Here is a 16,533-nt window from a genome sequence, read left to right as displayed (position 1 = left end):
CAAGTTGCTTATCCTTTCAACACCTCAGTGTCTTTATCAGTAAAATGATAAGAATTTTTCCTACCCGAGTGGGAGAAGAAAATGATGTAATCCATATATAGGGATAAGCTTGGTATCTGGCACACAGAAAGTACTGAATATGACCAGTTGATCAGTAAGGATGGCAATGATGATGGTGGTAGTGGTGGTATTGATGTGGCCTGCCCGGAGCTGGCTCTGACTGGGGGTACAGTTTAAAGACTTCTGGGCTCCTGAGGCTTTTCATATAAACGACACTTGATAAATGTAAACTGGTTGTCCCAAAGATCATGTGCAATTTAAGAAAAGGAAGGATCTCGGAGTTGTTCAGCTACTTACTGATAATGAGTTATTATAAGCAGTTATGGCAACTAACCTTTATTGAGCACTTGCTATATGCCAAACAATGTGCCTAGTGCTTTAGAAGGATCTAGTCATTCATTCTTCACAACAACAGTATGCAGTACATCCTAATATTATTATTTCTTTCTTTCAGAGGTAGACACAGGCTTAGAGAGGTTACAATAAACACCTAAGTTCCCCGTCAGTATGTGCTGGAAAGGAGTTAAAATTCAGTCTGCCTGGCTTGGTCTCAATTACTAAACTATATAATTAAGCATTTTGCCCATTGCCTGATTATCCTTCTGATGTATGAATATTTCACTCAATCCCCTAGGTGAAGAAGAGATGAAACAATCTCTCTTTCACCCTGCTTTGCCTTAACATCCAACTTCCCTTCTTCAACCAGGGATTGTTTCAATGGGCAACAATAAATGCCAGGAACTGGCCCAGCCTCAGAGATGACTAGGGGTCAGATACCACCATAGGCAAAAGCTCTGTGACAACCCTGCCCTTATACAGGGTGCATGACAGGAACTGGAGTTAGGGGATAATGGAATAAGGCTAGGAAAGACAGTACCTGGCATGCTGAAAATACTGACGCTAATACTATTAATAATAAATAATAGACCTCACTGTGTGGTAGGCATTGTATTAAGTGCTTGCCATGAAGAACCTCATTTAACACTGAAAACAGGCCTATGCAGACGGATCTATTGTTAACATTATTTCACCATTGGGGATAGTGAGACCCTGATAATCAGGTAAATTGCTGAAGCTCACATGGTTAGCAAGTGGAAAGCAGGAATCTGAACTATGTTCAGCACCTGTACTCTTAACCACTATGCTATACTGTATATATATTTATATACAAAAATTACTGGCTGGCCAAGGTGGCTCACGCCCGTAATCCCAACACTTTGGGAGGCCAAGACCAAAGGATCACCTGAGGTCAGGAGTTCGGGACCAGCCTGGCCAGTATGGTGAAACCCTGTCTCCACTAAAAATACAAAAAATTAGCCAGGCCTGGTGGTGGGTGCCTGTAATCCCAGCTACTCAGGAGACTGAGGCGGGAGAATCGCTTGAACCTGGGAGGTGGAAGTTGCAGTGAGCCGAGATCGCGCCACTGCACTCCAGGGCGTGACAGAGCAAGACTCCGTCATCCCAAAAAAATGTTGGTGGGAGTGAAAATTAGTTCAACCATTGTGGAAGACAGTGTGGTGATTCCTCAGGGATCTAGAACCAGAAATACCATTTGACCCAGCAATCCCATTACTGGGTATATACCCAGAGGATTATAAATCATTCTACTGTAAAGACATATGCACACATATGTTTATTGCAGCACTGCTCAGAATAGCAAAGACTTGGAACAACCCAAATGCCCATCAATGATAGCCTGGATAAAGAAAATGTGGCACATATACACTATGGAATACTATGCAGCCATAAAAATGGATGCGTTCATGTCCTTTGTAGGGACATGGATGAAGCTGGAAACCATCATTCTCAGCAAACTAACACAGGAACAGGAAACCAAACACCACATGTTCTCACTCATAAGTGGGAGTTGAACAACAAGAACATATGGACACAGGGAGGGGAACATCACACACCGGGGCCTGTCGGGGGTTGGGGGGGCTAAGGGAGGGATAGCATTAGGAGAAATACCTAATGTAGATGAAGAGTTGATGGGTGCAGCAAACCACCATGGCACATGTATACCTATGTAACAAACCTGCACGTCTGTACATGTATCCCAGCACTTAAAGTAAAATTAAAAAAAATACAACGATCTTCTCCCGTAAGCCATCCTTGCACTCCAGACTGAAATAATCCATGAAAGAGAGAGAGTGAGATCAAGGCAAACAAAGAGCAAGACTGAGAGTAAGAGAGAGAGAAATGGAGCATGCAAGCTTGGAGAGTGGCAGTTGAGGAAATGGCAATCATTTAAAAACAATGTACTTTGCCTCATATAATAGAGTTTTTGTGATAATCTTCTCAATGAAACAGGGTGCAATGATTAGCATATAAGTATGTCCCTCCTCATAAGGATGGCGGGACAGCATTTTTGACCTTTAGCTTAACTGTTTCAGAAATTGTGGTCCCAGTAGGCATACAAACTAGTGGATCTTTCATACCTCCCAAATCCAAAAGTAACATTTCCTTTCCATGTCTCTTTCCATACTCTTCTCATGCCTGTCATTCATTTACTTGCCTGTTTTTTCTTGATTTCTATACAGAAAGATGCTAACTATGTGTTCTCTGATGTGGAAAGGAGTGGAGGAGAGGGAGCTAGGATGCCTCAATGGTTTGGGGATTTTTTTTAATCTTAATTTTATTATGCCAACTCTACTGAACTTAATTATGGTAAATACAGAATTACACAATTACCCTCTGTTCCGTTCTTCAGAAGCTATATTTTGATAAAATTTACTACACGCTGCTTTCCCCCTGAACACTAGAAATGTATGTGTGTTGATATAAAATGTGTTATAATTACAATTAAAATATAGCTTACATAATGATAGTGTTAAAATAAAATCATAGATGTGTTGAGACAACATGGTCATGCATTTTTATTGTAAGTACATGCTTGGACCAATATCTGGTAGCCAAATGAAAATGGAACAGAATTTTGGTTAAGCCACAAAATCTGTTTAATGGTTTTCAAATACCTAAACGGAGATGACAACCTACGAGATAAAATTTCCCGTCATATTTTTAATTTAAAAAGTCAAGGAAATACATGAAATGCCTGGTGAAATTGTTGAAAGTAAGTATGCATAGGCATATTTTAAGATAAGCCCCTTATTTTTTTCTTAAACACCTGGGTAACTACCTAAATTTCATCATGCGTATCAGTGATGACAAATTTTCAACTAAGTTTAATGAAGAACATAAAATAATAATAATAAATAGTATATTATTGCATTAACTAAGTAGCTCAGAATTGATTGTCATTAAAGAGCCACCCTATCCAACTAATTTAAACCTTACAAAATATGGTTGCAATTATAACATCAGGGAGAAACATAGGAAACTGAAATGCTTCCTCTAAATGTTTATAGTTATGGTGTCTGACCAGAATAATTGTGTCACAAATGTTATTAAAATAATGAGATACTGTTTTGTTCAGTTTTACTGCAGAAACAAACTACAGGATTTTCTTTCATTTCAGATAATTATTTTTCACTAATTACTAAGTGTTTTGAGAACCTACAGTGCTAATTCCACTTCCTCATTCAATCTTTAAAATAACGCTTTCGGATAATTATTCTTAATGTCTCCATTTTACACAATGTATCTCTAGTTCAGATCTTTCTTCGGACCTACAGACTTCTGGAACCTTCTGTCTCCAAAACTGATCCTTAACCCCTAACCCTGTTCCACCCCAATTGAATCTTTTCAATTTCAGATGATAATAATCTCAACTTTCCAGTTGCCCAGGCCCAAAATCTTGGGTTAAGGGGTCTTGATCCTGTTCTTTCTTTCACATCCCACATTCTATCTGCCTGGAAATCCTGTTTCAACCTTCAAAACGTATCCCTTCTTAGAAGCTCAAGCCACCAAACCATCGATCTTACCTGGAAATGCCTCTTCTCTGTTCTCCCAGATACTACTCTTTGCCCTTACCCTCAATACCACAGAGCATTGTCCTTTTAGAACAAGAGACAGCTCATCTCATACCTCTGCTAAAATCCTACCACTGGCTGCCAACATTTAGAGTAAATGACAAAATGCCTGCGATGGCCTTGCATGAACTAGCCCCGTCACATCTCTGACCTCAAGACCTCCTGCTGTTCCTTCCTCCTCATTGACTCTACTCAGCCACAATGGCCTCTACAATATTCTTCTAACATGCCAGGCCCATTTTTGCTTGGAGTTTTGGCACTGGTCATTCCTACTCCCAGGGAGTGGTCTTCCCCTAAATCCACTATGCCAACTCCCTTGCTTCAAGTCTTTGCTCAATTGTCACCTCATCAAATCTACGCTATTACCCTACTTAAAAGTAGAGACCACACTTATAGCCCCTAGCACTACCAACCCGACCATCTTCAGCAAGTTCCACATTCTTTTCCTTATCCCATAATGTTCACCAACTTGTAACATCCATAGGATGTATTTATAACATCCATCTGTTTTCACACATGAGAATGTAAGCTGAGAGAGAGAGGAGGGAGGAGAGAGTGGAGAAGGGAGAGAAGAGAGGGAGAAGCAAAAAGAAAAAAAAAAGAAGAGGAAAGGAGAAGGAGAGAGAGAGCTTTTACTTTTTTACTGATGTGTCCAAGCATTTAGAAAAGCGCACATGGAAGGTGTTTAATAAGTATTTCTAGGAAAAAACAAAGATAAGGAAAGAAGGAGTAAAGCTTATAAAAGTGTAACTTTCCCAAAGCTCTGCAGGTAGAAAGGGTCCACAATGGAATTCAAGCTCAAGGCTGCCAGACTTCCACTGCTCTTAGCCTTGCTGTTATCTTAAGTCCATGGAATTCATTATTTCCTTTAATCAGTTCCATAAAAAGTTTCATTCCACTGAGTAACGTCACTAAAATGTTCTCTCTGTGCACGTGTGTGTGTGTTATCTCTCACTCTCTCTCTCCTTCTATCTGTCTCACTGTTCTCTCTTTTGCTCTTTCTCTCTCTCTGTCTCCATAGATAGATAGATAGATAGACAGATAGATAGATGTAAATTATACATATGTATGTAAATTTTCAATTCAGCAGAAGAAACAGAGAAGAGTGTAATCCAGCATAACTACTATGGTAATTAAACAGCAAAATTCAAAATTAGCAATAATGATTAATTAAGCAATATTGACACTTAATGTCCATCTGATAACTTTAACATAGCTTTTAAATGTATTAAACATGCTAATCTCAGTGGCAAAATATTTCCATGCATACTTCATGCAATCCTTGCAATTACTCTATCAGACAGGTACATTTTTATTATACCCATTCCAAAGATAAGAAAATTGGTGAAAGGTGTGGTACCTTTTTGATCAACGTCAGACAGGCAGTAAGTGGAGTGTGTGGATTTAAATCCAGGCCTGTCTTGCTCCAGAATTTGATTCTTAACCCCTACATGGAAATTCTGATAATTCCTTTGATAGAGTGTGTTTTCTCCTGGGAAACCTTCCCCCTGATGTCTGCATGAGCTAACCCCTTCAGAACACAGTCAAGTTTAAAACATAATAAAAATGTTTAAAGAGCCCTTTAAAAATGGAAATATTTTTATTTAAACAATAATGTAGAAGACTACACTGAGCCCTTTAAGTGACTTTCTTGCTACTTTCCATCAAGAATAAAAGAAAGTCAGCAGCCGTGGAATGACAAAAGCACAACACCCAAAGATGGAGAATTCTGCAAATGACCAATTATAAAACTATTAAGCTGCAGCTCTTTTACAGCAAGAGGCAAAATAACCCATTAAACTGAAAACTCTCCTACCCTTCCCTCCACGGCCCACACAAACATTAATGTTGCATTTATTAGGATGTACTTCCTGTGCTCTATCAACTTGACTTTCAGCAATTGTATTAAAACAGTCCTCTCACTTTGCACATATATCTGAATGATGGATTTCCCTACTTGAGGTTTGTAGAAAGGGTGGAGTGAACGAAATGAAGTTTAGAAAGAGCCATCATAATCCATAATGGTGGGTACTGAATCAAGACAAGATGAAACATCTTTTCTCATTTATTTGAATGAAAAGTCTACTGTATATTTATTTCCTGCATACGGGGCTACTTGTTGTATAAGGGAGAACAAGCATTTTTCATTTGGAGGTAAGGGTTTGTGTGCTCAAGTTTCTATGGGCCTACAAAATTAATCTTGTTGTAGGATTAAAATAAAACATATATTTCTGTAAATAGATACGCTTAAGCAATCAGCAACTGTGATGTCTTTAAACCACTATAAATTCAGGATAGGAAAATCTGCAATTACTTTAAGCATTTATGCATTTGTGCAACAACTGAGCAGTATACGTAGTGGTTTGTTGTCAGACAAATCTGACAAGTTTGAATCCAGACTTTGCCACTTACCAGCTATGTGACTTTGGGCTATGAGAATCACTTTCCTGAGCTGAACAATGGGATGAGAATATGTACATTGCAGGACTACTGTGAGAATTAAATGAAATGAAGTACTTTTAGCACGTGGCACAGTGGCTTATGGTAAGGACTCAAATTATTATTATGGTTACTACTACTTTTATTGAAAAAAGATTAGAAAGTCGGTTTGCATAAAATGTGACATATATCCTATATCATTGAAATTCATATATTTGATTTTTGATTTTGTAATCTAATAATGTGATTCAAAAAACATTTAGTTGTAAATATAGTTGAAAGCAGGTTACTTGTCAAACATGGAAATATAATGTGAAGAAGGTTGACTCAACACTCTTTCAGACAGATATTTACCTGTACATAGGTTTTATTGTTTTGATTTTTTATGTGCAGAAAACATATATATTGACTGTGTCAATTCACAAAAGGTCCATTAATTAACCAGTCAGACTATATGTTGCATAAATATCATTTTACATAGAGATCATATATGCATTTTAGTGGTTGGGAAATATGTTTGCAGCTGTTTTTAATTGTCTACTTAATGTAAAAGGGGACAAGAAGCAGAGTTAGGCTTGTTGCTTACTGTAGAGTGACCCAGGAGTTTAATGTACTTTGTATTCCATTATACCATGAAAATGTTTCTGTGCCCTGGGGATATCAACAAAAGATTTGCTTTAATGAAAGGAACCAAGTGTGGTTCCAAAGCTTTCAGATAGGAGGCCTATACATCCTGCAGTTTACATCAGAAGTGTCTGTCTTCCCTCTCAACTGCATCGAGATAGGGAAGATGTGATCACAAAGGCTGAAATCAATTACAGTAAATGTTGGGAAGAGAAGGACATCGAGTCTTGAATGTCCCGAAGCTGGGCTAAAAGAATTATGTTTAAAGTAAAGAAAGTGTTATCTACAGCCTGATTTTTCACTGAATGAATGCCAGTTAGTGAACCTTACATTAATGCAGAAAATCAGCTGCTTTTGCTATAATGCTTTCCACTGCACATGGCTAAAATCAAACTCAAAATAGTAAAAAGAAATGTGTTTCAAAAAATAACACGTCCTAGAAACTCACAGACATATCTAGATTCAGATATAGTTGAATGTAGGAGTTCCAGAATATCAGCAGGGCTCCCCTCTCTCCCACCACTCAGCCCTACTCACATCTACTTGACTATATGCTACAGAAAGTCTCTCCTTGTGTTGGATGGCCACTGGGAGCCCCAGAATCACATCTCCCTAGCTTAAAAATTCCAGAGAGAGGAGATAGTGTTCCCATTTATCTCTGAGAGAAACATCTTGGGGAAGATTCTAATTGGCCTGGATGAGGTCAAACGATTACAAAGGAACCAATCACCTGCTTCATTTGACCTGGCCACGTACCTCATCCCTGGGGCCAGGAAGATAGGCAGGATGTCATCATTTCTCAGTTTTGGGAGAGAAAAGTCTGATATTTTTGCAAGATGAATGGGAATACTACATGGAGATACGAAAGCTATAGCTTGCTGCCACTGTAAATTCCACAGTTCTCACTCCCTGCCTTGTGTCTTATGATCATTCAGTAAGCTGACCTGAGAGATCATTTTCCCTACCAGTAGCCTTGATATATATGATTGAGAAGTAAATTGTAAGATAATACAAAAGCAGTCTGAATACAGGAAATTAACTTGACTAGTAATGACCAAGAGAGCTGTGTGAAAATATATTTTAAAAGTTCCCACAAACTCACCAAAAGTGGGAGCTGGAAATGCAAAGACAGTTTTGACAAGACAAAGTTTTTTCCAAGCTAAACAAAAAAGATTACAGACTTTTAGAAACTACATTTTTAAAGAAAAAAAAAAAAGCAGATAAGGCAAATGAAGCCTAGAAAAATTAAGAGATTTATTTAGGGTAACTTAGCCAGTTAATGGCAGGATTGAGACTAAAACACACTGTAAAATCCAAGTATGGTCTTTTATATCTATGATATAACCTGTATATATGTAAGAAATATAGCACTTGTAATTTGTTAATCTCCAAATGTTCATGAAGTTGAAGTAAATGCATTCATTGTTTCAATTATTCTTAAAGAGAAAAATGCCCAAAGACATCTTAATTGCATGGGTATGTATACACGAAATACACATGGAGATGTCTTCAAATATAATATGTGCATGTCTTCATTCCTTCCCTCTGCTCTTTTTAAAAATGCCCCTTTAAAAATTTCCCACTCACCATCTGTTAGGTAAATTTCCTAAAACACAGTAAATGTGGAGGCAGAGATTGTTATAGAGACTATTCCAAATGGCAGTGACACCTATACTTATTAAATTATAAAAAGTGTAGGTTAAAGTTGCCTTTCTAATAAATTTCACCACCGTAGTAATACCACACCACCCTATGTGCTCAGCTCTATCGGATTACGATGGAGAGAGAGAAAAGAAAAAAAAATCTAGGTATTTCTGTATAAAATATTATCCCAAAAGTTTGATATTACATTCAAGTTTCAATTAACAGAAGGAAAACATTGACACATTTACTAAAGCATTTCATTTATGATACAAGGTCCACAGACTTAGATTTGCATTATGCTCCGACAAGGGTAGAGTTGACCGCTTTTTCCATCTACTTGCTTTGGGAGGAAAAAAAAAAAAAAATCCACCTGAATCAGATGCCATTCAATTCCAAGTCTATAGTGTAGAGCATGTCACTACACAGGAAATATTATTCATTCAGAGTCAGAATGTAGCAAGGGTAATTTATACTCTGGGAGTGTTTGCTCTCAAGTCAATAATGGAGAGGGTTTGAATGAAAATGTTCCCATGACTTTCCACTGTAATATACCTTACTTATTGCCCATAAGACAGTGGTCAGAGGAGATTTATCCATTGGTCACCGTATTATATAACCTCTCTACTTCCAGCCATCCCAACTCTGTGATGATTTTTTTTAAATATGTTACTTATAGTCAATATTAATTTACGTTTAATCTTTCTTAGCATTAGGAGAGTATTATTTTGCGCAAGCTTAGGAACAAATCTCCAGAAATTCCTCCCTGATGTTTCTTTGAGGCTGAAAATGCATTGCAGGGCAGTTGCAGTGATTTAATTCTAGTTGGCAGAGCCCTGGCCACACACTAATTTCATTAGCCTCAAATTCCTGGATTGATTTGAAGACCCACTGAATATGATTCCTGTCCTCAGACATGTCATCGTACTAACCCACTCAGTGTGTAAAGAGAGGAGAGAAAGAGGACTTGCTAAGCTTATGTCTTCAATCTGGTACACCAGCAGTCAAATGAAAATTCAAAGTCATAGACACTATTTACATCTGAGGAGTCATTCTTGCCCAGGTCCAAATTTCCAGGAAGGAATTTCATTCCTGACTTTGCTGGGGGCAGCAGCATTTGTTACATCTGTTACCATCTCATTTCTCCCTCCTTCCCTTCAGTGCTCAGCACCCCCCATTTAAGTCGCTAAGTATTCCTTCTTCTAGCCTACAGTCTTATCTCACTATAAACGTATATCTCAAGTGATCGGTTTGGCATGGTCCCTAAAGCAACCTGCAGGGAACAGAGGAAAAAGAAAACTCAAATCACTGGAAAGCTAGAAATTCAATCATTTGGAGGAGTTTCTTTTATGTAGGACAATCTTAATTGAACTGAACCTAGAAATCCCCGACAAGATTCACTATATCCTTTTTCTCTCCCTCTAAGTGTGCCTTTGAACAATGGGTGTGTATACCATTATTCTCTCTACTCATTTTGCAGGCTTATAGACACTGGAAACCTGGGGACTGGAATTACATGACAGGAGCGTCTAAGATCACACGCAAAAAGGGCTACTGGAAGAGATTGTTGGTATATGAAACACATATTCCAACATGGGCAGTGATTAACCAGGACACATACAAACCAACTGTTTTATCTAGCTTGCATGCATCCCAAGCTACAAGTTGGTGCATTCCTCAGACTACCAGCCTCTTCTCCATAAACGCAGGTGAAAACTAGGGGCTCTTTTTCCCTCAGCTATTCAATCCAACATGAATAGCTGCAATTTGCAAATTAGAGGAAAATGACAGTGTTTTCTCTGAATGGTTTTACTCCCCAGCCATAACGCTAACGCTAACATTGGGTTACTTTCTCCTCAGCTCAGGGAATGGAGAAATTAGTGTCAGGCCAGCCCCCCACCCCTTTTTTCACCACTAGCAAGTTGCCTCAGGTTCACACACCAGAGAAGGAATCAGCTCCCCCTGGAATATTTTTCAGCAAACACAGTCCCTCAGCCTAGTCTGTAACCCCTTTCTTGACTTTAACATTTCACTCTTTTTTCAGACAGAGACAGGCTGATCCGCAGTACTGCCCAGGGTGAGTGAAGAAACAGGCAAAATAATTTTAAAATACTAAACACAAAACGTTTTGTGCCTTTAACCCCACAGGCTAACAGGGAAAACACTGTAACCTACCCCAGCCCCCAGTGGTTCTCAGGTAATGTCTCTGACCTCATCCTCTCCCGCTGCACTGCTACCTCAACTTGTCTAGCTTTAAGCTCAAAGATGAAGGAAGGGCTCTGGGTTTCAGCTACAAGCCAGGTTCTTCCCAAAAGCAAGGAACTCAGAGTGATGGCTAGCCCCGAAGCACTTTTGGGTTTGCAGACCTGCCAGGATTTCCATGATGGCACTCAGGAAGTGTCAGAGATGCTCAGAGGATCAGAGGGGCCATGCAAGCTGCAGCCTTGGATGGGCACTCCTCTTTCCTGAATGCAAACTTCACACTCCTGGAGGTGATGTGATGACAGCCTGGGTCTCACAGAGTCCCCTTCTGAAGCCCAACACCTTTTGGGAAAGCACTTGAGAGGGGCCGGTTCTCTAGATATGAGGAGCATAAAGGTGCCAGGATCAGCGTGTACATCTGCGGAAGAGATTAACTAGGTTTGGGTACCACCAGCCAGGGAGAGAGCCGCTATGCACTGGAAAAGGGTCATTTTAATACGGAGATGAACCAAGAACTTGGGAGTGAAGACAGAGGAGGAAAGGAGGGAGAGATTGAAAAGGAGAGAAAAAACAGAGAGAAAAAAAAAACAGCAAGGAGACAGAGACAGAAAGAGAGAGTGATGCACATATAGGGAAAGACACAGAGGAGGGAACCTACAATCACAGAGACCCTGAAACTCAATTTCCAAACCCCAAAGCCACTCATTCCTACCCAGTGCAGCTCAGGAGCCATGGGGCAGAGGCTGCTGGAGCAGGAGGCGAGAGAACACTGCGGCAGAACCCACCGCTCAGCGGCCCCGGATCCGCCTTCCTCCCATTTTTTCTCCGTCTCCCTCCGGCACCGGAGCAGGAGGACCACGGGGCCCCGCTTCACGCACCCCTCTGCCTCCCAACGGGCGCCTTCATGCCTCGCTCCGGGAATCGTCCTCCAAGCCGAGGATTTGGCTTGGGGTCTGCGTCAGGGAGATAGTGGGTGAGGGGGGCGGGGGGGAGGAGGGAGGAGGCAGGGAGAGCGATTTCGTTTCGCGTGAGCTCATCCCTGGGCTGAGGTCTGAAGTGGCAGGAGTGGAAAGCTGATCGCCCAGCTCCGGCCAGTGGCCGGATCGCACATGTAATTTAGACGGTGCAAAATATTGCCCGGAGCAAACCAACCGGGGGTCACGTCTGCGGGCAGCATCTCTCCACCTGAGGAAGGTCCCAGCACCTCGCGCCCTGGGCTCTCGCGGAGGCTGGCTACAGGTCGGGAAATCAGCCCGAGGGAGATGCGGACTTAACATCCACATCTAGGTTAAGACGGAGCCCTCGATTTAAGAAGTGCCTCCTTAAGGCTGTCTCCAAATTTTTCAAGGGAGTGCAGGTTGGCAGGCTGGCTTGGGGGTGGGAAGCTGGGGAGTTGGGAAATGCCCGGTTTCCAGGCATCGTCTCATCTTTCCTATTCCATTCTCCTAACCAGCTCTCCTAGGAGCCTGGCACTTTTACGAGCCTGTTTTCGGACCATATTTCACCCTAATGCAAACCCATTTAAATCATCGCCTTGTTTTTCGCAGATTGCTTCTTGTAAATGGGGCCATAAATCCAGATGTCAAGCCGGATGGAGTGGAGCGTGGACAGGGGAGAGATGGAAGGGAAATAAACCAAGCAGGGAAGGTATCTCCTCGAGCGGGGTGGGAGGGATTCGGCAGGATCTCCAGGGAGGAAATGAGCGAAGGCTGACCTGACCCGCACCACCGGAGTCCAAGCCAGCTTTTAGGGTTAAGGGCGCAGGTAGCCACTGTGTGCTCCGCCCCGGAGGGAGCGCATCCCTACCTGGAAGAGCCTCAGGATGTTGGCTACCATGATGGAGACCGAACTCCCCGAAGCCCCAATCACTCCAACTACTTTCTCCGGCTTGACGAAAACCGGCGGTTCGCCGTTGGTGCAGCGCACGTCGGAGGTGTCCTTCTGGATGAGCGCCTGGACGAAAGTAAGCGACTGTTCGAGCGCGTAAGTGTCCCTGGAACAAGTGTCCAGGATCCGCGCGCCCAGCGTCACGTTGGGCAGTAGGTTGGGATCACTGTTGATCTGGTCCAGGGCGTAGAGCATCGCTTCCAGCCTGTGGATCCCGTTTTCCCTCTTGATGTCGCCGCAGGGCACTCCGCTGGGACCCTTGGCGTGCACGGGGAACAGCCCCCCGAGGGTGACGTCCCCCTCGATCCGGATTGAGTGCGGGGCGTACATCTCCTGGCCGCGCGCCGCCGCCGCCAGCGCGCACAGGAGCACCTCCAGCACGCAGCAGGGGAACTTCATCAAAGTCAGGACGCGGAGCAGCTTCCTCAGCTGGACCATGCTGCTCCGGCTGCTGCGGTGGCGGCGGCGGCGCTGGAGGGAACGGTGGTGGGCTCGCCGAGGTCCGGGCCCTTCAGGGCGAGCTCCTCCGGGAAAGCCCAGGGGCTCCTGCAGGCACGGAGGGTGGGGGAATCCGGGGAGGGGCGACCAGAGAGGGTGAGGGGTCCCGCGGCGCCTGCCAGCCTGGGGCGCCTCGCGCTCTCGGGTTAGCCGGCCGGCGCGCCGCGCTCGCGCTCACCGGCTTGCTGCTCGCTCTCTCCAACAGCCCAGCACTGGGGAGAGGGCAGGGACTGCTATCGCTTTAAATGGTCGTTCGGCTCCCTCTCCTCCTCCTCCCACTCCCTCCCTCCCTCGCTGGCTCTCCTTCTCTCCCCACCCTTCCCAGCGCCAGCCCTCCCCACTGGTTTGCATCATCACGCAGGGAGGGGCTGCGTGCTGAGGTAAGGGGGGGAAACGGGTGGGCGGCTGGGGAATGGGGGGAGGTTTCCTCGGAATGGGAGTTTCGTGGTCCCCAGGGAATCTAGGGATTGCGGGGAGCAAGCGAGAGCCTAGCTCTCGACCCTAACTCACTGTGGAAGCCTCCCTACCCACACCCACGTTCTGGGCACGGGTGTCATCAGCCGCGGGATGGGGCGAGGACGTCGTGCTGACTGCTCCCAAACCCTAGGTCCGGAGCCTAGGCTCTTAGCTCTGGGAGAAAGCGAGGCAGGGGCAGAGAAACCAGTGAGGGAGGGGCGCGGGAAGACCCTAGCTAGACTCTACTCCTGAGCCGCCTGTGCTAGTTTTTTGCTAAGAAAGCCACACGTGCACACAGGAGCCTGATTCTTGACTTAAAGACGCTTTACCCAAAGGGGTTTCCAGGGCCAGGAGCTGAGCTTGGCTGCAGGGAAACAGAAGTCAAGAGGAGATGCTAGGCATGGGAGTGCATCACTGGTCTTCAGTAGTCACTAGAGTCAGAGCTCCTTGAACTGACGCGTTTCCCCAGCATGTCTGTGTCAAAAACCTCGGACGCATCCCTTCTTTTTACTTCGTTGCAGAGAGGGAACAACTGAGAACTCCGCAGAGCGCACTTTCTAGCACTGACAGGTGTAAGACTCCCTCCTACCTATTTCCAGAGATGCATCTGGTGCACCTGGTGGCAGTTTTTGCCAGTAAGAAAGAGCAGGAAAGAGGTGATGGCAGGAAGAAGAAAGAGGGGGCAGGCACAAGTGTCCCCATTGATTGGGAATGCCTTTCTTTGTCTTTCTCTGGCTGGGGTTTGGGGGCAAAGTCAGGATGCCAGTACAGGTTGCAGTGCAATTGAGAAGCTCTTTATGAGCGGCGTCTCCTCCTGCAGGTCCAGACCGCATTTGGCCCATTAAAGCAACAAGTGGCTCTACTTCCAATTCAAGGAAAGTGAATGTCTGTCCTTGGGGATGGGAGCGGACTTAAGGAGGTTAAACCATCTCTTCCTGAGGCTTTCTGTTGGAGGGCAGCAAAATCATATTATACAGATTTTAGGGCGGAGAGAAAACCAGAAACAAGACTATACTTTTTGTTTTTGTTGGCAATGTAACGAAGAAACCTATCATCATCGTAGGGGGGAAAACGTCAAAAGGCACGTAGTTGGTTGTCTCCGCCACCGAATACTTGTGTGCTCTCAGCACTTCTGTTCCTCTGTCTGGGTTTTAGTTTCCCCATCTGGAAAATGATGAGATTGAATTGGATGCCCTCCAAGTTATCTTTTAACTCTCAAATCATCTGTTAAAATAGGTCATGTCCCTTCGGCCATGGTGCTCTTTTTAGGCCAATATTTTCTATTGTATTATGTGTAGACCAGTTTTTGTATATTCAAAGAACACTATGATGGTTTCCTGGTATAGAAGGTTTTTGGTTTTTGTTGTCGATGTTGTTGTTGTTGTTTTTCCTGTCAGGGACATCCCATCAATTTTTTTTTTTTTTTTTTTTTTTTTTTTGGATATGCCCCTCTTACTTGTTTCAATGTTCATGGTTTCAGGAGAACTGATCCCACTGCCTGTGATCAAGTCTTGGCTAATCAGAACATCAGATCCTTCTGGCTGTAGTGCTATTCCAGGTTGGGCAGAAAGTCCAACCAGAGCCATTCAGGGATAATCCCTGGACTTTCGCTGGGGCAGCCAGGATGGAGACATAGGGTTATCACTACCACATAGGCCATCTCTGTATAAGTCAGATACAAAGGGGCCCCTTCCACAAAATACTTTGTTTCTTTTTTGGAAAATTGTTGTGCTATTCTGATTTTGTCAAAACAAGATATTTTCTAGTCAGCTTCCAGAAAACAGTGCTGTAATTAATATACAAATCTACTCTGTGCGCAATGTGCCTATGAATCACCTTCAGACTCAATGCCTTGCTACACAAATGCACAAGTTGAATGACCATATGCCATGATGGTACCTGCTCCTTCCTGCAAGTTGTGGAGCTATGAGAATATAAGCCTGAAGCTGTGCCAGGGGCTTCCACAAGAACAGGGAGATATATGAACCCCAAAGTAAGATAAATACATGGAGATAGAGAAAGATAAAGAATGAGAGAGAGATTGAGGCTTAATTAAAACATTTGCATTCCTGGATCCAAACATGCTTGAAGAATTGCCTCTGAACTTTTTAAATTATATAGCACTTTCTTTCTGTTTGAAGCCAAAAGAATCCTCTTCTAATTCACCTGTTCTAATACACAAGACCAAAAAGGTGAAATAGCTGAACAGATATTCTGTTAGGGCAGCATCAACTCATTTGGAAGAAGATATAAATAAAGCAATAGAGAGGCATACTTAGGAACACTCATACTATGATCCTAGTGTTTAAGCATTAGCACCTCAGGCTGTCTTTGACAGAGACTACTATATCCTTATTTCATTTTTAATTTCAGGCTATTTATTACAAACTTGGTGACAAAAATATTTGGAGAGTTGGAGTAACAAGTAATGTCATTTGATTTTTCACCTGCACATGTCTCGGCTCATGCTCTGTGCTTCCATTTTCATTTCCCACCCAATGATTGCTCAATAAATATTTCTTGGCTGACTGTTGAATGCTGCCTTATTCTGCGTTCTCTCTTTGCTCTGCTCCTTCTCCCCAAACATCTGGTAGCAATCATTATCTTTCCTTTATTGCTGTCATCTGTGTGCATGTCTTATTTCCCTTGCCAAGTTGTAAGATCCTTGAGGGTAAGGGCTGGGTATTATTTATCTTTTTATCCGGGACCATGTTTCAAATAATGTTTTGTGCCTAAGAAGCACTCATGTGTTGAATGACACAGAACTGGTTTTGCCATTCTCTACTGCTTTATT

The 16,533-nt window shown here is 43.0% G+C and overlaps 1 protein-coding gene across 7 annotated transcripts in view, besides 1 other annotated feature; it reads right to left on the bottom strand.

Annotated features, from left to right (window-relative positions):
- GRM7 (glutamate metabotropic receptor 7) overlaps nucleotides 1–13,497 on the bottom strand; it is an 880,419-nt gene extending 866,922 nt beyond the window's left edge. For 5 of the 7 annotated variants that reach the window (XR_001740135.3, NM_181874.3, NM_000844.4 and 2 more), the window contains exon 1: nucleotides 12,705–13,497. Coding sequence is in view for 6 of the 7 variants with exons in the window: in NM_181874.3 (NP_870989.1) it covers nucleotides 12,705–13,223 (519 nt within the window). In the remaining variant the exon portion in view is untranslated. Of the gene's footprint in view, nucleotides 1–11,610; nucleotides 11,945–12,704 lie in introns of those variants that run through there. The other 2 variants (XM_017006272.2, XM_017006273.2) reach the window with 1 other exon arrangement.
- Nucleotides 12,383–13,374: an enhancer, noted in NCBI's record as "H3K4me1 hESC enhancer chr3:6902925-6903916 (GRCh37/hg19 assembly coordinates)". NCBI's record gives its function as "activates a minimal SCP1, AML or CMV promoter by ChIP-STARR-seq in naive H9 embryonic stem cells {active_cell/tissue: H9 hESC(naive)}" and the evidence as "EXISTENCE:reporter gene assay evidence [ECO:0000049][PMID:30033119]".

Source organism: Homo sapiens, chromosome 3, assembly GCF_000001405.40.
Source record: "Homo sapiens chromosome 3, GRCh38.p14 Primary Assembly".
NCBI classification, from domain to species: Eukaryota; Metazoa; Chordata; class Mammalia; order Primates; family Hominidae; genus Homo; species Homo sapiens.
This window is presented reverse-complemented; position numbering and strand designations above follow the sequence as displayed.